Genomic DNA, 22,874 nt, shown 5'->3' with positions numbered 1-22,874 from the left:
GAGATGAGGAAGTCCGGGCATCGTGGCTCATGCCTGTAATCCCAACACTTTGGGAGGCTGAGGCAGGCAGATAGCTTGAGGCCAGAAGTTTGGGACCATCACTTGAGGCCAGAAGTTTGAGACCAGACAGCTAAGCCCTGTCTCTACAAAAATACAAAAAGAATTAGCCGGGCATGGTACTATGTGCCTGTAGTCCCAGCTACTCAGGAGGTGGAGGCAGGAGGATCACTTGAGCTCAGAAGTTTTAGGCTGCAGTGAGCCATGATTGCACTACTGCACTCCAGCCTGGGTGACAGTGTGAGACCCTGTCTCAAAAAAAAAAAAAAAGAGAGAGAGACAAGGAAGGTCTCACTCTGTCTAGAATGCAGTGGCATGATCACAGGTCACTGAAGCCTCAAATTTCTGAGCTCAAGAGATCCTCCTGCCTCAACTTCCCAAGTAGCTGGGACTACAGGCACACACTACTATGCCTGGTTAAGTTTTGTTATTTTTTTTAGAAACTGGGTCTTGCTATGTTGCCCAGTCTGGTCTCAAATTCCTGGCCTCAAGCAATCCTCCCACCTTGGCCTCCCAAAGCGCTGGGATTGCAGGTGTGAGTCACCATGCCCAGCCATCCCGGTCTTAAAGAACCAACCTGCCATCCCAGCAAACACACAAAAAGTCCAGGGACCCTTGGGCCTATAGTCACTCTCCACATGGGGGACCCTGAGGTTATTTAGGGAACAGCAGTCGTTCTTCCTGTCTGGCCCACCCAGATGAGTAATAAGTCATCTATTTTTAGTTTAGGGTTTTGTTTTTCTTTTTCTTTTCCCTTTTTAGAAATTTATCCAGGCCCATTTCCCAGGGCTGAGCACTTAAGTTGCACTAAATTTATTGCTGGGGACTTGGTACTTTGAAAAGGAGAGTGGTCCTCAAATGCACTTCAATTGTGATTTCCCCCCGAGATAAAAATTTGCTTGCAACAACTTCAACATCATTTATTCAATACTTATCCCTGGGAGTTCTAAAAGAAAAAAGGCTGGCTTTTGCCACCACCAAGTCTCTCTCTCCTGAGTGAGATTCCAGGCCAAGGGCTCTCACACAGGCACCACCATCTCTGTCCTTGCTCAGGGACTTCTATCATCACATGCTGGATAGTGGGGGAAGCCCCCTTCCCGGAAGTGGACAATCGCTCGCCCTTAAAAAGTATCAGTTGGTAGTTCTTTTGGGGGGATAAAAACCACACCCCCCAATTCACACAACCAATGCACCTGTTTATTTATTTACTTATTTAGAGACAGGTTCTTACTCTGTCACCCAGGCTGGAGTGCAGTGGCATGATCACGGCTCACTGCAGCCTCAACCTCCAGGCTCAGGTGATCCTGCAACCTCAGCCTCCAAGTAGCTGGGACCAAAGGAGCACAACACCATGGCCTGACTAATTTTTTTTTTTCCAGAGAGAGGGTCTCACCATGTTGCCTAGGCTAGTCTTAAACTCCTGGGCTCAGGCGATCCACCCACCTCAGCCTCCCCCAAAGTCCTGGGAGGACAGGTATGAGCCACTGTGCCTGGCCACTCTTTTCTTGTAATGATAGAATTAACTATTTACTCATTTAGTCAATCAACATTTATTGATCACTTATTATGTACCAGGCACTGGGATAAAGATGACTGTTAGTCACTCACAGTAAGGAAGAAAACTAGCAAATAAGACGATTACAATATGATGTAGAAAATGCTAAGCCAGAGATATAGAAAGGTCCTATTGGGTCCTTCTGTCACCTTGTCTTTCCACATCCCTACCCTTCACAGGCCTTCCCTCCAGCTTCCTGCCCCCGCTCCCCACTGCAGATCCCCTGGATTTTGCCTAGAGCTAAACGAGGAGATGGGCCCCCTGGCCCTGGCATGACTTGAACCCAACCACAGACTGGAAAGGAGCCTTTCGAGAGTGGATCACTTTGATAAGAAAACACATAGGAATGAAGAGAAGTCCACAAATGGCCACCCGTGCTGGTGCTCAAGAAAAGTTTGCAGAATGGATAAATGAAGGATCAAGGAATTAATAGATGAATAATTGAATGGTGGCTCAATAGATGACTTCATGAATGAGTCAGAAAATAAACTTCCAATCTTGAGGCAAAACTGAATTTTAGCATTTCCAATGCTTGTGCTTGTTCATTGAACACCATGTTCCCCAGAAAATTCTCTACAAAGATGTTCATTTTTTTAAGTTAAAAGTACTTAAAAGTTCACTGGGAATTTTGCAATGCAGTTGAGAAAACTGGAGCTGCCTAGGGGAATTTCAGCATTAGGGCTTGAAATTACTCACCCAGGAGAAATCCCAGTATAATCTGCCCTCCCATTAGTGGTAGGAGAGAAGCTCCAAGTTCCGAGGCTTCTCATTTTACCAAACAGGTGTACCACCCTTATCACTAACTAGCAAGTTAAATGTGAATCAAATTACCGTGTTCTATCACCAATGCAGTGCTTCCTACTGAAGAGGCGACCGCAGGAAATCCTTCGGTGTTGCAAACAATTGCATTCCAGCATGTTCTGTCAACATGAATGTTGTGCCGTAAAGAGGAAAAGGATCAGAGAGGAAAGAGGCTGTGTGGTGCAGAGGCCTATCTGAACAGCTGATTTTCTACATGCCCTTGAAGGCTCCCTGGTTCTCTGAGATAAACTGGCTGAAGCTTTTGACTTTGGGATTTAGTTGGTGGGTGAGATTGACATCTCGGTCTGGCTTCATTTCATAGAAACGACACATATTGGCTATTTCCTTTGCTGCAGGGAATCCCAGCTTCTCGAAAGCTTCCGGGGTAATCTTTTAAGAACAAATAAGAAGACAGAAAATGTTATAGCCCATACTTAAAATAGTTTGAAATGACATTATTCACCTTAATGATGACACAGGTCCATAATTCTTTTTTTTTTTTTTTTAAGACAGTGTCTCACTCTGTCACTCAGACTGGAGTGCAGTGGTGCGATCTCGGCTCACTGCAACCTCTGCCCTCCGAGTTCAAGTAATTCTCCTGCCTCAGCCTCCTGAGTAGCTGGGATTACAGGCACCCGCCACCACGCCCGACTAATTTTGTGTATTTTTGGTAGAGATGGGGTTTCGCCATGTTGGCCAGCCTGGTCTCAAACTCCTGACCTCAGGTGATCTGCCCGCCTCTGCCTCCCAAAGTGCTGGGGTTACAGGTGTGAGCCACAGCACCCAGCCAGGTCCACAATTCTTTAGCCTAACTCCAAAATCCAAGAGACTCTAAAGTTTTTTTTCCCCCATAAGCCATTTGGCAGCAAACTGACCTTTTTGAACTAAATTAGTGGCAAACCTGATCTAACTATGTGAAGCTATTTATGGTCTTTAATCATACCATTTAGTGGAAACATTCAAATATTTGCCTGCAGAGATATAGATGTGTTTGATTACAGGTTCCTGCTCCAGCCCGTGCTGGTGATGTTATATATGTAGACAATAACCTATCTAAAAGCCGAAAGATTCCTAAAGCTGAATTGTTTCTGGCCCCAAGCCTTTTGGGTAAGGTACTGTAGATCTGTACCAGCCTTCATGTGAATAGCACCTCACAGTGCTCTTGCCTATACTTCCTCTTCGTATTCCCCCACCAGCCCTCTGAAACCGTCCACCCACCTGGGCCTCCATGCGGCATCAAGATCCCCCCTCTCTGGCACCAGGCTCTCCTTCTCACCTGGCTGATGGCCCATCCATCCTCGCTCCCTTTCTTGGTTAGAGGTCTGTATTTTACCTCCAATTGCCCCAGCCTTTGCCAAGGCCAGGCCCAAGCAGAAATGGAGCCCATCCCACGCCAACTGAGCTGCCTTCTGTCACCTTCCATAAAATCCACTCCTTGAATCCTTTCTAACACTAACTAGATCCATAATTCCCCCTACTGAATTAGCTAAAAATCATTTCTATTGGATCCAGTATAATCTGTCTTTAGCCCTCAGAGATAAACTCTGACTTTGCAATTTTACTTGGCCTTTAAAAAAGGTGACAGACACAAACAACTTAGGCAAAACAATGATTGTCACATGCATTCATAATAATGAGAAAATTAAGAACAACCTACATGGCCAACAATACAGAAATGGTAGAATTAATTGTGGTACATCTACTCTCAGAACATAATGCAGTTTAATGTTTTTGGAGAAGTTTAACAAAATAGAAAAATTCTCATAACATTAACTGAAAAGGCCAGAAACAAAATGGTACATTTAGTGTTATTTTAACTGTGTTAAATATATGCATATGTATATATATGTGTGTATATATGTATACATTTAATACAATAATACAATTTAATAATTGTATTAAATATATACATATATACACATACTTATATATACATATACATATGTATATATTTAATACAATAAATATATATAAGTATATACAGTATATACATATATAGATACTTATATATACTGGAAAAAGACAAGACAATCTGTCAAATCTTAACAGTAGCTATCTCTGAGAGATTGAACTACGTGTGATTTGTATTTTCTTTTTCATAATTTTCCGAGTTTTCTTCAATAAGCAGTTGCTATTTTTGAAATCAGAAAAACGTTGAAAATTTGAAGTGAGTTTGGAAATAGAAGTCTATGTGAGAAGCATGGAAGATTCTTTCATGTCTGTCTCCTTGAGTCACTCTTTCATCCATAACTTTGATACCACATGTACTTCAGTAAAATAAGGGATTCTTTTACTGCAGATTTTTGAAGGAAAGAGGTCTGTTCTGTTATGTCTCACTTTCTGAGAAAACCATCTTCCTTTGGGGGTTAGACAGTTTCAACTAGACATTTCACACCCACTTGAGGAGGTAGGAGGAAGTCAGACCGTGAGGGCTGGAGCGCCACCTTGTGGCCAGATGCACCCTTCCCCGGAATTGTCAGACCATTCTACAGAAGTTCCAGCCTCTGATGCCCTACAGTCTGTGGTGCCAGAGGAGCTTCAGCTGCATTATAAAACAATTTGTATACCAAGAAGTGTCAGGGACCAAGTATATGACTAATAGATGCTTGGAAGGTTCTGAGCAATTCAGAACAATGTCTACTGCATCCTCTAAGAATCAATACACACACTCATCCCCTACACTCACGCTCTCTCTTTCTCTCCTTCCTTACAGAGTTCAAAACCACAAGACAAAATGAACATATGACCCAAATGCAAATGGCCTGGGAGAAGGGTCACTGAGAAGTGAATGTGTACTCAGGTGCAAGGAACCTTGCAGATCTTCTTGTGAGCCCATCTTTGAGTGGGTGGCTGCCTTCTTGGGTTCAGGAGTAACAATCTCTCCGAGAAATGTGTGTGTGGCTTCAATGAGATAACCAGATGTGGTTTTGTGGCTGGATTGACTCCCACACTGGTTTTCCAGAAAAAAAAAAATATCTCTTTGCCTCCTCACAACTTCAGTACCCGAGGCTGAATTGGGAATCTAGATATCCCCTCTAGAATCATTGGACCAAGAGCTGTTGATCCAAACAAGAACCAACTTTCTATCCCTAATTCTAGGAAATATTCTAGAACATATGTCAACAAACTATTTTTTTTTTTTTTGAGACGGAGTCTTGCCCTCTCGCCCAGGCTGGAGTGCAATGGCGCGATCTTGGCTCACTACAACCTCCACCTCCTGGGTTCAAATGATTTTCCTGCCTCAGCCTCCCCAGTAGCTGGGATTACAGGTGCCCACCACCATGCCCAGCTAATTTTTGTATTTTTAGTAGAGGCGGGGTTTCACCATGTTCGCCAGGCTGGTCTCAAACTCCTGACCTCGTGATCCACCCTCCTTGGCCTCCCAAAGTGCTGGGAAACAAACTTTTTTCTAAAGGCCTAGATATAAATATTGTAGGCTTTGTGGGCCATAAGTTCTCTGTTGGAACTACTCAACTCTATCATTGTACCCTGAAAACAACCTGTTTTCTTTTCCCTTCCTCTTGTCAATACCTGCTTGGGGAAATGGCTGGTGATGCCCAATATCACCAATTCTCACTCTTCTGTAAAAAGTCTGTCCTGGCCAGGCACAATTTCTTGGAGAAAATAACTTACCCCCAAGCCCAAGAAGGCAGCCCCCCACACAAGGAGGCCATTCCTGCATGATTTATAGCATGATCAGTTGCTGAGGGCTTACTAAATGCCAGACCCAGTGCCAAGCACCTGCTGTACAGATCTCATTTCATCCTCACAATGATCCCATGAAGGAGGTATAACAACTTTTTTTGGAACATATGAAGACACTGAGATGGAGAGAGGTTAAGTAAATTACCAAGGATAGAGGCAGAGCCAGAATTTGCCTCCTTCCCGTACTGCCTCTGGTTTGTCGTGTTTATTCCAGAATTAGCCAGGCCAGCCTTCTTGATGCCTCCTCTGTCTATACATGGTCATGTTCCCTCAAGGACCAACTCAAGCCCACGTCTTCCATGAAACCTTCTTCCACTGTTTTCTGGTCATCTATAGCACAGATAGTCTGAACAACACAATTAAGCACCTATAGTGTTATGTCTTATAATGATCATGGCGACTTGATGGGCATCAATATTTTTACTCCAACCTTGCTGCAAATTCCTTAAAGTAGCATTGGGTTCATAATAGAGACTCAATACATCTCTGCCATGTGCCAAACACTATGATAAGCCCTTTAAATATATTCTCTGTAACTTTCACAAGAACATCCAAAGTAGATACTATCATTCCCCACTTTGCAACTGAGGAAGCTGAGGCTCAATGAAGCTAAGTGTCTTGTTCCACATCAGCTAGCTCTGGACGACCGAAGTGGTCAGCAGCAAGGACTTATGAGAGGAGTTGGGATCATGTGTGTAAAAAGGCTGTATCTCAATCTTCACATTCTACGTTCTTTCCACTCAAAAGTAATTTTACTTTTACAAGTCAATTAACCCTAAGCCAAAGAAATAAAGCCATATGGGAGAGATTCCACTGCACCAATCGATGAAGATAGATTTATGGAACCACAATCCTTCTCAATTTCTTCTGAAAGTTTAAGTTCAATCCTGCCTAAATCCACAGAGAGTCTACCAAAATTTGTAAGTCAGTGGAATGTTAACCAAGGTGGCCTCTTGTGATCACATGGATGTCCCCTAAGAACTCACCTTTGCATCTCGGACTTCTTTCCCCAAAACCTTGGACAAAACATCAGCATATTGCTGTATTGTTAGTGCTTCTGCACTGAGCCCCACGGCCTTGCCTAAAAATTCCTCTGGAGAATTAAAAATGCTAGAGACGGCTGCTCCAATATCAGCAACAGAGATACCATCCATTGGTACATCTCCCATCGGTACAGCTAGTTTAAAAAAAAATAGAAAAAGATAAATAGTTAATTACATCACATCCTTGGTAGGTCCCACCAACCCAAACTAATCAATCATTTAAAGAAAAGGTGTGGGACGGCAATGTAAAACCCAGTGACCACAATCTATACACAGTTACAAGGTTTTGTTTGAGAAATTACAGGTTGAGCACGGTGGCTCACGCCTGTAATCCCAACACTTTGGGAGGCCGAGGCAGGTGGATCACCTGAGGTCAGGAGTTCGAGACCAGCCTGGCCAACATGGTGAAACTCTGTCTCTACTAAAAATACAAAAATTAGCCAGGTGTGATGGTGCGTGCCTGTAATCCCAGCTACTCCGGAGGCTGACGCAGGAGAATCACTTGAACCCAGAAGGCAGAGGTTGCAGTGAGCCGAGATGGTGCCACTGCACTCCAGCCTGGGTAACAGAACAAGACTTCATCTCAAAAAAAAAAAAAAAAAGAGAGAGAATACTACAGTGCCTGGATATTGATTTAAAAGAGCAACCATTTACTAAATATCTTCTCTATGTAAAGTATGATTAAATGTATCTCCAGCCAAAACTTCTGCTGAATTCCAGACTCATGTGTCCCACTACGTACTCAAATCCTTACCTGACTGTTCAATAGACATCTTAAACTCAACAGGCCCCAAACTGAACTCCTACACCCCACAACCTGCTTCCCTACAGCCTCCCACCTCAGCTAATGGCAACCCTATCATTCTGATTTCTCAGGTCACAAATCTTGCAGTCAGCCTTGACACTTCTCTCACATCCCATATCCTTTTCTTTTTTTTTTTTGGAAATCATATGCATGATATGTACAAAATCTGGCCACTTCTCATCATCTTCAATGCTACCACCCTGGTCCAAGCCACCATCATCCGTGACTTGAGTTATTGCAAAATTTGTCTCCTTGTTTCCACTCTTGCCCTTTTTTTTTTTTTTTTTTTCAGATGGAGTCTTGCACTTTCACCCAGGCTGGAGTGCAGTGGTGCGATTTCTGCTCACTGCAAGCTCCGCCTCCTAGGTTCACACCATTCTCCTGCCTCAGCCCCCTGAGTAGCTGGGACTACAGGTGCCCGCCACCATGCCCAGCTAATTTTTTGTATTTTTAGTAGAGACGAGGATTCACCGTGTTAGCCAAGATGGTCTCAATCTCCTGACCTCGTGATCCGCCTGCCTTGGCCTCCCAAAGTGCTGGAATTACAGGCACCCACTACCACACCAGGCTGATTTTTGTATTTTTAGTAGAGACAGTGTTTCACCACGTTGGCCAGGCATCCCGTCAGAAATGCTATAGCAGTGGAGGCACGGTGGCTCACGCCTGTAATCCCAGCACTTTGGGAGGCCGAGGCAGGCGGATCATGAGATCAGGCGATTGAGACCATCCTGGCTAACACGGTGAAACCCCGTCTCTACTAAAAATACAAAAAAAAAAAATTTTTTTTGAGACGGAGTCTTGCTTTGTCACCCAGGCTAGAGTGTGCTGTGGCGTGATCTCAGCTCACTGCAACCTCTGCCTCCTGGGTTCAAGCAATTCTCCTGCCTCAGCCTCCCGAGTAGCTGGGATTACAGGCACCCACCACCACGCCCAGCTAATTTTTGTACTTTTAGTAGAGACGGGGTTTCATCATCTTGGCCAGGCCAGTCTCAAACTCCTGGCCTCAAGAGATCCGCCTGCCACGGCCTCCCAAAGTGCTGGGATTACAAGCATGAGCCATCGCACCCAGCCCTGTCTGCTCAGAACCTTCTGATAGTTCTCTGTGTCCCTCAGAGGAAAAGCCGGTTGTTTACAAAGCTTACACAACCAGACCCTCTGTTAGTTCTGACCTCACCTCCTACTACCCTCCCCTCCCTCATTCTATTTCAAACAATCCTGTCACCTAAGCCTCCTGAGTAGCTGGGACCATAGGCCACCCCTCCCGGCTTCTGGTGAGTATTAATTCTGAATCTAGGAAGAAAGCCTGAATTGTCATTGGTATTCCCACATTCCCCCCACTGCACAAAGGCCAACTCTGACCATGGCCACAGAAAGTGTCCCCAAAGGGAAGGGGAATGCCGGCCAGTGGACCAGCAGCTTTGGAATTACCAGGAGTCCTTGTTAAAACTAGGCCTCAACCCAGACCTGGACTCAACCCGGAATTGGACTCTCTGCAGGTAGGGCCTGGGAACCTGTCTCCCAGGCAGGTCACGGTCCCTCTCAGCTCTAATTCTGACCATGGGACCCAGATCAGAAGAACACTTTTCCTCCATTGTTGCCACAGAAGTTCAGATGGATGAGCTAGAAGGGTCTTAGAAGTCATCCTGAGGCTGGGCATGGTGGCTCACACCTGTAATCACAGCACTTTGGGAGGCAGAGGTGGGAGGATCGCTTGAGCCCAGGAGTTCAAGACCAGCCTGGGCAACAAAGAGAGACCCCATTTCTTCAAAAATAAAATAAAATAATAATTGGCCAGATGTGATGGTATACACCTATAGTCCTAGCTACTCAAGAGGCTGAGGTAGGAGGATGCTTGAGCCCAAAAGTTTGAGGCTGCACAGTGAGCAATGAAACCCAGTATGGGCAAAAGACCCACTGCATTCCAGCCTGGGCAACAGAGACTCAGACTCAAAAAAAAAAAAAAAAAGTCATCTTGTCCAATTTTCCCGTTAAACCTTGAGGAATCTGCCAGGCGTGGTGGCTCACACCTGTAATCCCAGCATTTTGGGAGGTTGAGTTGGCTGGATCCCTTGAGTTCAGGAGTTTGAGACTAGCCTGGGCAACATGGTGAAACCCCGTATCTATTTAAAAATGCAAAAATTAGCCGGGCATGGTGGCGGGTGCGTGTAATGCCAGCCACGCAGGAGGGTGAGGCACAAGAATCACTTGAACCCAGGCTGTGGAGGTTGCAGTGGGCCAAGATTACGCTGCTGCACTACAGCCTGGGCGACAGAGCAAGACTCCATCTCAAAAAATAAAATAAAAATAACCTGAGGAAACTGAGGCTAGAGGTCACATAGCTAACTCCAGTACTTACATTAAGGACGGTCAGTATGTTAAGATTGGAAATGTAACCCTTTGTGCTTCTGATCCCAGATCTAGTTCTCTGCCCTAGAAGAGCAACTTAGTGTAGTGCCCTAGAGAAGCTGAGGACAATTTGGCATCCCTCTCAGCACTTCACATAGGGCTAAACACATAGAAGGCACTCAGATGACAGGTGTCCACTGCAGAGGGGCAAGAAGGGAGAGAGGGAGGCAGGTGAGTGGAGAGGAGGGCAACCAGGTGCCTAGTGAGTTTTCACTTCGTTTTACCCAAGGTGTAGTAATCTCCATCAGAGGCTTTCACGGGCCGCCACGCCGCGAGAAAGTTTTCAAAGTAGGCCGCCACGCGGACACTGGTCATGGGGATGCCAATGGACCAGAAGTACTCCTCCACCTCGCCCTTGCTGTCAAAGTGCGGCACCTCCAGCTTGCCATCCGTCAGTCGCTTGACGTTCTCCAGGCCGCTGTACACCACGTGCTTCAGACCCAGGTGCTTGGCGGAGTCTGCCACCAGCTTCCCCTGAAGATCAAAAGTAAATCCTCATATAGGCCGCTGTATTTGTATTTGCATTTGGACAGATGTTAAGAGCAGGATCTCTTCCATCTCCTCACCTCCCCTCTACCCCCTCTCCCCACTGCTTTTTTTTTTTTTTTAAGACAGAGTCTGGTGATTTCCGCTCATTGCAGCTTCCGCCTCCCGGATTCAAGTGATTCTCCTGGCTCAGACTCCCGAGTAGCCGGGGTTACAAGTGCGCACCACCACGCCCAGCTAGTTTTTTGTATTTTTTAGTAGAGATGGGGTTTCACCATACGGCCAGGCTGTTCTGAAACTCCTGATCTCAAGTCATCTGCCTACTTCGGACTCCAAAATTGTTGGGATTACAGGCCTGAGCCACGGCGCCGGGCCCACTCTCTCCTTTTCTTATTACCCCCATCCCTATGGAGAGGAAGCTCTACCAGCCTCAAAATATATTCAATTTACCTTACGAGAGGCCACCACAGCCGCATTGGTGAGCAGAGGCTCCACTCCAAAACCCCCAACTCCTCAGCCTGCTCCCAAAGGGGCTGTCAGCAGAACACCGGAGGTGGGGGAGTAGTAGAATAAGAAATTAGAGAGGTGGCAGAGGAGAAAGGAACCCCAGGTACCTGTTTGAAGCCAAGAAGCAACCTGGTGGGAACTGACCAGGAAGAGATGGCCTTTTTCTCTGGGCTCTCAGTGTCTTTGTGATCAACTGCAATCGCATTTATTTATTTTCTATAATTGTGTCTAGTAATGGAATATATCTACACACCATTTGGATATTGAGGGCATAATGGAGGCATATATACACACACACACAAACACACAGGTATATATATTCTCTTTTTTGTGTGTTTTTAGATCCAAATTTTCCAAAGCACTTTCATCTCTCTCTTCTTTTTTCCTTTCTTTTTGCTGTTAACTTCTTACTTTTCCTTAAAAAACCTTATGCGGCAGGCAGAGAAGACATAATTAACCTGGGTTAGCAGAGGCAGGAAGTGAAGCAGAGAGGTGACTTGTATCCCTACATTTCCTAGTAAGTAAATATCAGAAGTAGAATTCAAGTCTCCTAAAATAAGCCCTTCCAGAGTTTATCACTAAAACAGAGGCTGTGAATGGTATAATTAATTCAAGAGACATTCCTGGAACAGTTTGATCCTGCTCTCGATTTTTTGAATTGTGCCATTTCTTCAAGTGGCTAATACCATCCATTATATTTTTTTAAATCTAATCTTCATTTTTTCTCAAATGTATACATATACATAGTTTAAATTTTCAAATAGTACTGTCATGGGTTGGGAGGGAATGGATCTTATAATGAAAAAGAAATTCCCGGCCGGGCGAGGTGGCTCACGCCTGTAATCCCAGCACTTTGGGAGGCCGAGGCGGGCGGATCACGAGGTCAGGAGATGGAGACCATCCTGGCTAACACAGTGAAACCCCGTATCCACTAAAAATACAAAAATTTCTCCGGGCGTGGTGGCGGGCGCCTGTAGTCCCAGCTACTCCAGAGGCTGAGGCAGGAGAATGGCGTGAACCCAGGAGGCGGAGCTTGCAGTGAGCGGAGATTGTGCCACTGCACTCCAGCCTGGGCGACAGAGCGAGACTCCGTCTCAAAAAAAGAAAAAGAGATTCCCAAGAGGCTGAGGTGGGAGGATTACTTGAGGCTAGGGGATCAGGACCAGCATGGGCAACACAGTGAGACCCTGTCTCTAAAACATAAAAGAAAACAAATAAAATAAAATAAGTTCCCTGTGCCCCATGCTGATTACTGTTCTCCAGAAGTAACACTAATTTCATTTAGCTGTTTATTTTTGTAAACGTTTATACCACTAATTGTTGATTTTTTCAATTTGAAATATCATCTACTAAATTCCTACTATGAAAGATGAGGATTTAATGATTGTCTCTCACTCACTCGCTCTCTCTCCTCTCTTACTCACTCAGGTTGTCCACCACCACCACCACACATATACACAATTCCCTTGTTTCATTCTCCCAATCATTGTTTTTGGCTAGATCAATATTCAGTGCTTACACACAGCTGAAGCTGAGTTATGTGATATTCAATGGTTACATTTATTTTTTCTTTTTCTTTTTTATTTTATTTTATTTTTTTGAGATGGAGTTTCACTCTTGTTGCCCAGGCTGCAGTGCAATGGTACGATCGTGGCTCACTGCAACCTCCACCTCCCAGGTTCCACCGATTCTCCTGCCTCAGCCTCCCAAGTAGCTGGGATTACAGGCATGTACCACCATGCCCAGCCAATTTTGTATTTTTAGTAGAGATGGGGGTTTCACCATGTTGGTCAGGCTGGTCTCGAACTCCCGACCTCAGGTGATCCACCTGCCTCGGCCTCCAAAAGTGCTGGGATTACAGGCATGACCCACTGCACCCAGCCTACATTTACTTTTTCTACAAACTTTCATTTTCCCTGAATTTAATTCATTGTGGGTTTATTTGCTCTTTTATTTCTTTTTCTATGTACCCATCCCCAAATTATCTATCTGAAGTATAAATGAAGTGTAAATTACATCTTTATTCTCTCCATTTCACTCTCAAACTAGCCTCAAATTTGGGGGTACCCTTGCCACCACCCCCCCCATGCCATGTACAAACAAATGGTGAGAAGTGGAGAATCCAATGACTAGCTTCATTAAATGCTCACTCTGAATACTCAAGGTCTCGAGACCTAGACAGATGCTACATAACATTAATTTTACAAAGATACCTTTAACAAGTACTTAAAGTACATATTTTTTATAAATGCCAAAAGGGATGTAAGACATACATTTGCCCAGACTGAAGGCCTGTCCCCTTATAGGAAGGAAAGAAGCTGCTAGGGAGGGTAAGAGGAAAGGGCTCAAGAGGAAAAATGAAACAATTTGGTTTCTACCCGACACACTTCCTTATCTTGGTTGAGAGGGTCCCAGAAGTTGGTCACCAAGAAGGCCCCATAGACACCTTTTAAGGCACTGTCCACCGATGCTTTATCATTCAGGTCACCTTTGACCACCTCAGCTCCAAGGCGCTGGAGCTCCAGGGCATTTGGTCAAGTCACATCCCTGGTCACTGCTCTCACTGCAAATTTTTTGCTCTCCAAAATTGCCCTGGCCACAGAGCCACCTTGAGCTCCTGCAGGGTCAAGAGAAGAAGAAACACAGGAAGGATCAGGAAGAATGTTCACTGAAAGAAGGTCAGAAATCTCATAATTCAGAGTAGAGCTGCTGCAGTACCTACTGCAGGGGGTGCTACATGGCCCTTCACATATCCCCATGGCTTTCAAACTAAGTTCTTTGTGGCCTCTTCAGAGGCATTTTTGCAGAGGACATGGGAAGAGAAGAGTGGGAGAGGCTCGAGGCAACAAGAAGGGCAAGTGAGCAGGGTGTCAAAATGAGGGATGCCCACAGGTTCTCCAGATTCCATAAGGGCGATTATTCTTCTTTTACCTGGTTATAGATCTTATATTGGGGTTATTAAGACAATTCTTCAAAAGAGGTTCCTGTGCTCTCTGTCTCTCTATGTACATATATACATACATATTTATATTTATTTTTATATATTTATATATGTGTGTGTGTGTGTGTGTGTGTGTGTGTGTGTGTTTGAGATGGAGTTTTGCTCTTGCGGCCTAGGCTGGAGTGCAATGGTGCAATCTCAGCTCACTACAACCTCTGCCTCCTGGGTTCAAGCAATTCTCCACCTCAGTCTGTGAGTAGCTGGGATTACAGGCATGCACCCAGCTGATTTTGTATTTTTAGTAGATACAGAGTTTCGCCATGTTGGTCAGGCTGGTCTCGAACTCCTGACCTCAAGTGATCCACCTGCCTTGGCATCCCAAAGTGCTGGGATTACAGGCATGAGCCACTGCACCTGGCCCTGGTCTATATTTTTTTAGAAATTTAAAAACTTGTAAAAAGTTTGTTTTTTTTTTTTGAGACGGAGTCTCGCTCTGTTGCCCAGGCTGGAGTGCAGTGGTGCGATCTTGGCTCACTGCAAGCTCCGCCTCCCGAGTTACACCATTCTCCTGCCTCAGCCTCCTGAGTAGCTGGGACTACAGGCGCCCGCCACCATGCCCGGCTAATTTTTTATATTTTTAGTAGAGACGGGGCTTCACCGTGTTAGCCAGGATGGTCTCGATCTCCTGACCTCGTGATCTACCCGCCTCGGCCTCCCAAAGTGCTGGGATTATAGGCGTGAGCCACCGCGCCAGGCAAAAAAAAAAAATTGTAAAAATTTTTTACCACATTCAAGACCAATTACGATATGATCATTACTTGCCTAATGTATTCACCCTGCAAATATTTATGGACTATCCTGTGATATAGGCCAGGTGCTATGCTGGGTTGCTAACATTTGTGTTGCTCCATCAAATTGGCTGGATACCTGTCCTGGATACTTTTTTGTGTTTCCAGCTCCATATTCACTTTCTCTCTTCTACTTAGTGCACTCAACAGCTGATCCTTATGGATTCCATCAATGGGCTCTCGTGCCCTCAAGTTGGTTCTGGGCAATGAGAGACCCAAGGGCAAGAGAGATGATCCCCTTAACATCGCTACTGTCCCCAAGCTCTGGTCATCTCTCTTGCCCTTTTCTCCTTCCTCTTGTTGCTTACTTATTCCTTATTGGTCTCTTCCTTGTCCACCGTTATTAAATTTTTCTCAGCTTCTCTGAAGGAGTGTGGCACCTGTTTCTTGTGGGACTCCAGCTAATACACCACTGATAACCCTATAGGAAGGTCAGGGGTTATTCAGTGAGCTCTGTCTTTGCACACAGAGTTTCATAGTAAATTGTCTACTAGTAAATATGAACACACAGCCAAAGTTCACCAGATGTTTGAGGTAAGCCTCCAACATGAAAGGCAAAACCAAAATAAACAAACTGATGGAAACAGAAACAGTCCAGAGAACTGAAGAAAAAAATTAAAAAGAATTAATATCCTCTAGGGCCAGGCACGGTGGCTCAATCCTGTAATCCCAGCACTTTGGGAGGTGGAGGTGGGCAGATCACTTGAGGTCAGAGTTCAAGATCAGTCTTACCAACATGGTAAAACCCCTTCTCGACTAAAAATACAAAAATTAGCCGGGTGTGGTGGCAGGTGCCTATAATCCCAGCTACTTGGGAGGCTGAGGCAGGAGAAGCATTTGAACCCAGGAGACAGAGGTTGCAGTGAGCCAAGATCTCGCCACTGCGCTCCAGCCTGGGTGACAGAGTAAGACTCCAAATTAATATCCTCTGAGATTAGAAAAGGTTTTGCATTCCAAACACTATATCAGCCCAAAAAGAGGAGAAGAAGAGACAGGAGAAAGAGAGCAAGCATTCAAAAGATAAGCAGCTGCTCTCAAAAATTTATTATAGCAGAAATAAAATGTCAGTAGAAAAAGTTGGAGAACTCTCCCAGAATTAGAAGGGGAAAAATAAAGCAAGTAAAATAAGAGAGAGAAAAATAATTAGAAGATCAAGCCAGGGGAATTATAGAATGAGAAATAGATGGAGGTATTGAAATTATCTAAGAAAATAGTAATTTCTTGGAGTCCAAGGATATTAACTGAGCTTCCAGATTGAGAGGTCACTGAGTGCCCCATACAATGATAAATGAACTCCCACTTTATGCGCATCACTGTGAAATTGCAGAACACTGACTGCTGGTGTGGATATTTGTCCCCTCCAAACATCATGCTGAAATGTGATTCCCAATATTGAAGCCTAATTGGAGGTGTTTGGGTCATGGGAGCAGATCCCTCATGAATAGATTAATGCCCTCCCTCAGAGGTGAGTTCTCATCTATTAGTTCCTGTGAGAGCTGGTTGTTAAAATGAGCCTGGCACCTCCACCCTCCCTCTTGCTTCCTCTCTCTCCATGTGATCTCTGCACATGCCAGCTCCCCTTTACCTTCCACCGTGAGTGGAAGCAGCCTGAGGCCCTCATCAGATGCAGATGCACAATCTTGAACTTCCCAGCCACGAGAATCATTAATCAAATAAACCTTTTTTTCTTTATAAATTAGAGAAAGTAAAACAAAACCCTTTTTCATCCCTCCTAGGATGGCCATTATATGGAACCATTCACAATTAAAAAGCAGGTGGGTTGAATATTTTACTCTGACTTTATAAAATAAAAATCTAAACAAACTGAAGTACTTTCTATTTGAGTATAATTTGTGCTTTTTGCAGGGGGTTGGGGGGTGCTGGAGTAGGTAGGGTGGGTCATGGTCCTTGAAAAGGATTTTTATAGGGAGGTTTCTGTTATTGTCCTGGGACCATGTTTTTGAATGACTTTTACATGCTGTGCTATGCCCTGGGGATGTAGTGGTAAACAATAGCAGGTTTGAACAAGTTGGATATAAGATAAAATTTATGAAAGACATTATATATTGGATTATGGCCTAATGAGTTCAAGGATTTACCCCAGATTATACAGCTGCTTAAGTAAGGATTTCAGGATTCAAACCTGAACATGGCACCTGCCAGCACAGAGCTTAAAGACTAGCAGAGGAGATCATTAAAGAGCAATTATAATACAGCGTGATATGTGCTATTAGGGGAGGAGGTAAAGGGCTGAGGGCACACAGGAGGACATAAGTGGAGCATCTAACCCAGACTAGAGAGAGGCTTCCTGAAGGAAGTGGTAACAGAAATGAGCCCTAAAGAACAGGCAAGAATTGGGAGAAGAGAGGCATGTGGAGTGTGTTGCATGCAAAGCAATTGCAAGTGCTTTATTCTAGAGGTGACAGAGAAGGGAGTGAATTCAGAGAACTGAAATGAATCTGACTGAGAACTGCAGGTCAATGTCACACATGAGGCTGGAGAAGCAAAATAGGCCTAGAGGGCTGCACTTTGTTCTGGGAGCAGGAGATTTTATGAAATTGAGCAGTATGTTCAGACTTACATGCTGGGAAAGTGCTCTGGTTAATGGAGAGTGTGGAATAGGATAGAGAGACCACAGACAAGGGTACAATTAGTGGGCTTTAAAATAATCTAGGTAAAGGTTGATAATGACCTGTGCTAGAAGGGGTTATTCAGGTGGAGGGAATAATGCAAATTTAAGAGATACTCAGAATATTAAAGGATACATTTTTAAAGAGTAAAATGATAATTTGTACACACATAAAATGAATGTGTCAAAATTTTATTTAACTCATTAATTAATGAGGGAACCAGTACAATGTTATAAGAAAAATTCAAAGAACACACATATATGTAGGCAATCAAGAATGCCAAAATGCTAAAATGAATGTACAATTAGGGACAAAACCAGTCAATATCCACCAGGCAATAATCAATTGTGGTCCACCAGACACAATTCATTTGTATTTCTTTTTTTTTTTTTTTTTTGAGACAGAGTCTTGCTCTGTTGCCCAGACTGGAGTGCAGTGGCGTGATCTCAGCTCACTGCAACTGCTGCCTCCTGGGTTCAAGCGATTCTCCTGCCTCAGCCTCCTGAGTAACTGGGACTACAGGTGCCTGCCACCATGACTGGCTAATTTTTGTATTTTCAGTAGAGACGGGGTTTTACCATATTGGCCAGGCTGGTCCCAAACTCCTGACCTCATGATCAGCCCACCTCGGCCTCCCAAAGTGCTGGGATTACAGGCATGAGCCACCACACCCGGCCTTCATTTGCATTTCTATGGACAAGAATCGGTTGCGTTATTATCTATTTGCTACAACTTATAGAGTTATAGATATCTTAAAAACAAGGAAAGGCTCACAAAAGTGAGAACGGTGCCCTGGGCATGGACACCCAGCAACCTTTTTTTCCCATTTCAAAGTCTTTCACAGTTTTCCTTTTTTTTTTTTTTTTTTTTGAGACGGAGTCTCGCTCTGTCACCCAGGCTGGAGTACAGTGGCGCGATCTCGGCTCACTGCAAGCTCCACCTCCCGGGTTCACGCCATTCTCCTGCCTCAGCCTCCCGAGTAGCTGGCACTACAGGCGACAGCCGCTACGCCCGGCTAATTTTTTTTTTTTTTTTGTATTTTTAGTAGAGACCGGGTTTCACGGTGGTCTCGATCTCCTGACCTCATGATCCGCCGGCCTCGGCCTCCCAAAGTGCTGGGATTACAGGCGTGAGCCACTGCGCCGGGCCTTCACAGTTTTCCTTGACAAGATGATATCAACAGGATTTTGGTGATTAACTGGATGTGGTGATGATGAACAGGGAGGATTGAGAGAGAAAAGTCAAGTGTGACCATTTATTCAAAGAGGTTGAGGGGGCATTTAGCAAGATGTTGATGTTGGAACAGAAGGGTACCGTGAGAAGGTTTTGTAGGCAAGGGAGTCTGAGATGTGGGGTCAAGGAAAGGATGCGTGGCGAAATATAGGGTTGAGACTAATAACCAGAGGGGCTTACATCTTGAGCAGTAATGAAGGAGAATGGGAATGTGATACAAGGTGGTATTAGCTGTCTACAAGGTTTGAAAAATTAATCAGATTTGAAAGATGGTTCTGTTTAAAGGTGGAACATGGAGAGAAGGCAAATGGAGTGTGGAAAAAGCTTCTAAGAGGGAGAATGGAAAAAATCAGAGAGATTTAGAAGACAGAATTAATAGAGTGACTGGCCACTCCCAAAAATCTTATCCAACTGCCTACCCAGTCTCTGGATGCCTAGTTGGCAACTCAAGTTTAATGAGACCAATTCAAGTTTAAGGAGTTCCTGACCTCCTCCTCCCCACTGTCTCCCATATTTCAGTGAATCTCAACTTTATTCTTCCAGTTACTCAAGCCATAAAACTTCAGAGTCATTTTCAACTCTTCCCTTCTTACCCCTGATATCTGGTCCACCAACAAATCCTGCCAACACAACTTTTAAAACCTCCACAGAATCTGACCACTCTCCACAATCTCATTGCTACCACCCTGGTCTAAGCTACTATCATCTCGCCTATTTTATGACAACCACCTCCTAACAGGTCTTCCTGCTTCAGCCCTTATCCCCTATAGTCCCTTCACAAAGCATAAGCTAAAATGATCCTTTTAACACCAAAGTCATGTGATTCCTCTGCTCAAAATCCTTCAGTGTCTGGTATGCTGTTGCAATCCTGCAGTCCCAGCTACTTGGGAGGCTGAGGTGGGAAGATCACTTGAGCCCAGGAGTTTGAGGCTGTGTACTATGATGGCTCCTGGGATGGAGAGTCACTACCCTCCAGCCCAGGCAACACAGTGAGACCCTGTAGCTAAACACAAACACACTGAAAAAACCAAACCCTTCGATCACTTTTCTCTTTCAGGAAAAGCCAACATCTTTACCATCACCCTAACGCTTAATAGAGTCATCCCCCGCTCCATTGCCTCTTCTTCTCCTTTTAATATCATACTTGACTGTTGATTTTTGAGAATTTATTTCACTCTGCTTCCTGCTTTAGCCCTTGACTTCCTCCAGACAAATTCCTGTTCTCATAGAGCTTATATTCTAGTGTGGAAAGACAGGCAGAAATAGAAGAATTGAAGTAAGGAAGGGAGCCAGACATGGGCAGGGTGGAAGCAGAGTTGCAATTTCAAATATAGAGGTCTGGAAAGTCCCCATGGAAAAGGTAACATCTAAGCAGAGACCTGAATGGCATGAGGGGGAAAGCAGTGGGTAACTGTGTTAGTTCTTTCTCACACTGCTGTGAAGAAATACCCAACACTGGGTAATTTATAAAGAAAAGAGGTTTAATTGACTCACAGTTTCACATGGCTAGGGAGGTCTCAGGAAACTTACAATCATGGCGGGAGACACCACTTCACAGGGTGGCAGCAGAGAAAATGAGGGCCCAGTGAAGGGGGAAGCCGCTTGTAAAACCACCAGATCTCATGAGAACGAACTCACTATTGATACGAACAGGAGACAGGGAAATACTGGGTAGAAGAGGGTGGTTCCTGGCAAAGGCCCCACCCTTAAGCCTGGATACCTGCTGCCCTAAGTAATAGGCATTCCTGTTTTTGCACCCCAAAAGTTGCCTTCTGGCCTGCCACCACCCCTATCCTGTATCCATATAAGCCCCAAACCCCAGGCTCCAGAAGCAGACTAGGAGACAAGGAGACAAACAGATGGCAGAATGGTGCAGCAGAGGAGAGAAGAGAAGGAACGTCAGGAGGAGTTTGGCTGAGGATGTTCGGAGAATCAGCCACTGGACAGCCAAACTCCAGGGCAAGATCATATTTCTACTCCATCCCCTGTCTAGCTCCCCAACCATCCCACTGAGAGCCACTTCCACCACTCAATAAAACCCCTGCATTCATCCTTCAAGTCCATGTGTGACCTGATTCTTCTGGGATGCTGGATGAGGGCTTGGGATACAGAAAGTTGTCACACTAGCCCCCTCCTTTTGCAAAAAGGCAGAGGGTTCACTGAGCTGGTTAACCCTTAAGCCATCTGTGGATGGCAAGGCTAAAAGAGTGCACTGTAACACATGCACACTTGGGCTTTGAAAGTTACAGACACCCACCCCTAGATGCTGCCATAGGGCTGGAGCCCAAAAGCACTTGCCCCAGTTCCTGCACCTACCGGTATGCATGCTCCCCATCTCTTAAAGAGTTTGAGCTTGCAGTGGCAGAACAGAGAGCCACACCCCTGTGGCACACCCTGTGGTGGGGGACCAGGACCAGGGAACTCTCTCTTTTCACTATCATGAGAACAGGCTGGGGGAACCGCCCCCAGCATTCATTTATCTCCACCTGGTCACTCGTATGACATGTAGGGATTGTGGGAACTACAATTCAAGATGAGATTTGGGTGGGGACACAGTCAAATTATATCAGTAACAGAGGGAGATCATTCTAGGTTGAAGAAGCAGCCAATACAAAGGCCAGAGCCTTTGTATTTGTGGGATTGTTTTGGAGGAACAGCAAGAAAGCCAGGGTAATGAAGCGGAGTGAGAGGAGGGTGGCAGGAAGAGAGTTCTGACACAACATTTCCAAGGCCCTGTTGCAGGGCATTAGCAGGACTTTGCACTTTACTGGGAGTGCCATGGGGCTGGGATCTTTTAGAGGGTTTTGAGCAGAGGCCTGACATGATCTGACAGTTTCAAATGGATCCTTGGGAGGCTGAAATGAGAATAGATTGAAGGAGAAAAACCTGATTTGATTTATATTGTGCAAAGATGGCTCTGACTGTTGAGGAACAAACTGTAAGGGAGCCAGGAATGCAAACTTCCCACACACTCCATCCTTGCAGACTCCCTGGAAGATTGGTCAGGCATTGGATATTCACTACAAACCCCCAGGCCCCTCACACTTGTACCTTTTGCTTATTAGGAAGTGAGTGGAGAGAAGACTTCAGAGTATAGCTTATGTTGAAATGAGACTTATACCAACCAGTTAGCCCCATGACTGGGAAAGGGAGATTACGTCAGTGTCCTTGTCCTGCTGAGATCAAGTTACAAATCAAATCATGCCACCCCTTTACCACATCAAGAACTAAAGCAATAGGATACTTTAAAAAATTTCTTCCAAAGAGCTCTTTGTTCAGCCCACACTTGCAGGCTCTAAAGTTACAAACAGGAAGACAGGAGAGTGAGCAAAGTCAGCATGCCCTAAAAATTAAAGACTTTTTACCTGTTGCTCCAAACACTGTAATTACTTTCTTGCTGGCCATGTTATCAGGAAAAGAGAGAGTCAGTGGAGTAACAGAACTTTCCCTGGAGCAGCGACACCAGCCGAAATGCTGTGTTTCTTCTCTGGTGAGAATTATAAACCCATTCCAATTACCACGCCTTTTATTGTGCCCCTCCTTGTTCCTGTTACCACTAGTCCACTTACTCACTGTGACACTGCAATTTTCAATTTTCTTTTTTTCTTTTTCTTTTCTTCTTCTTTTTTTTTTTTTTTTTTTTTTTGAGATGGAGTTTTGTTCTTGTTACCCAGGCTTGAGTGCAATGTCACAGTCACAGCTCACTGCAATCTCCACCCACTGGGTTCAAAGGATTCTCCTGCCTCAGCCTTCCAAGTAGCTGGGATTACAGGCACGTGCCACTATGCCTGGCTAATTTTTTTTTTTTTTTTTTTTTTTTGTATTTTTAGTAGAGACGAGGGGATTTCACCATGTTG

At 44.8% G+C, this 22,874-nt stretch overlaps 1 pseudogene across 1 annotated transcript, besides 1 other annotated feature; it reads right to left on the bottom strand.

Moving 5' to 3' along the window:
* Positions 1–1,583: 1,583 nt before the first annotated feature.
* NMRAL2P (NmrA like redox sensor 2, pseudogene) lies at positions 1,584–22,518 on the bottom strand (annotated as a pseudogene). The gene is made up of 4 exons (NR_151491.1): positions 22,383–22,518; positions 10,597–10,846; positions 7,105–7,295; positions 1,584–2,803 (listed from the first exon to the last, which is right to left on the bottom strand). The product of NR_151491.1 is annotated as an NmrA like redox sensor 2, pseudogene (transcript).
* Positions 15,507–15,801: an enhancer, noted in NCBI's record as "tiled region #2251; HepG2 Activating DNase matched - State 5:Enh". NCBI's record gives its function as "activates a minimal TATA promoter and a strong SV40 promoter by Sharpr-MPRA in HepG2 cells {active_cell/tissue: HepG2}" and the evidence as "EXISTENCE:reporter gene assay evidence [ECO:0000049][PMID:27701403]".
* Positions 22,519–22,874: the final 356 nt, after the last annotated feature.

This window comes from Homo sapiens, chromosome 3, assembly GCF_000001405.40.
Source record: "Homo sapiens chromosome 3, GRCh38.p14 Primary Assembly".
NCBI classification, from domain to species: domain Eukaryota; kingdom Metazoa; phylum Chordata; class Mammalia; order Primates; family Hominidae; genus Homo; species Homo sapiens.
Note: the sequence above shows the minus strand (reverse complement) of the source record. Positions and strands in the feature narration are given on the sequence as shown.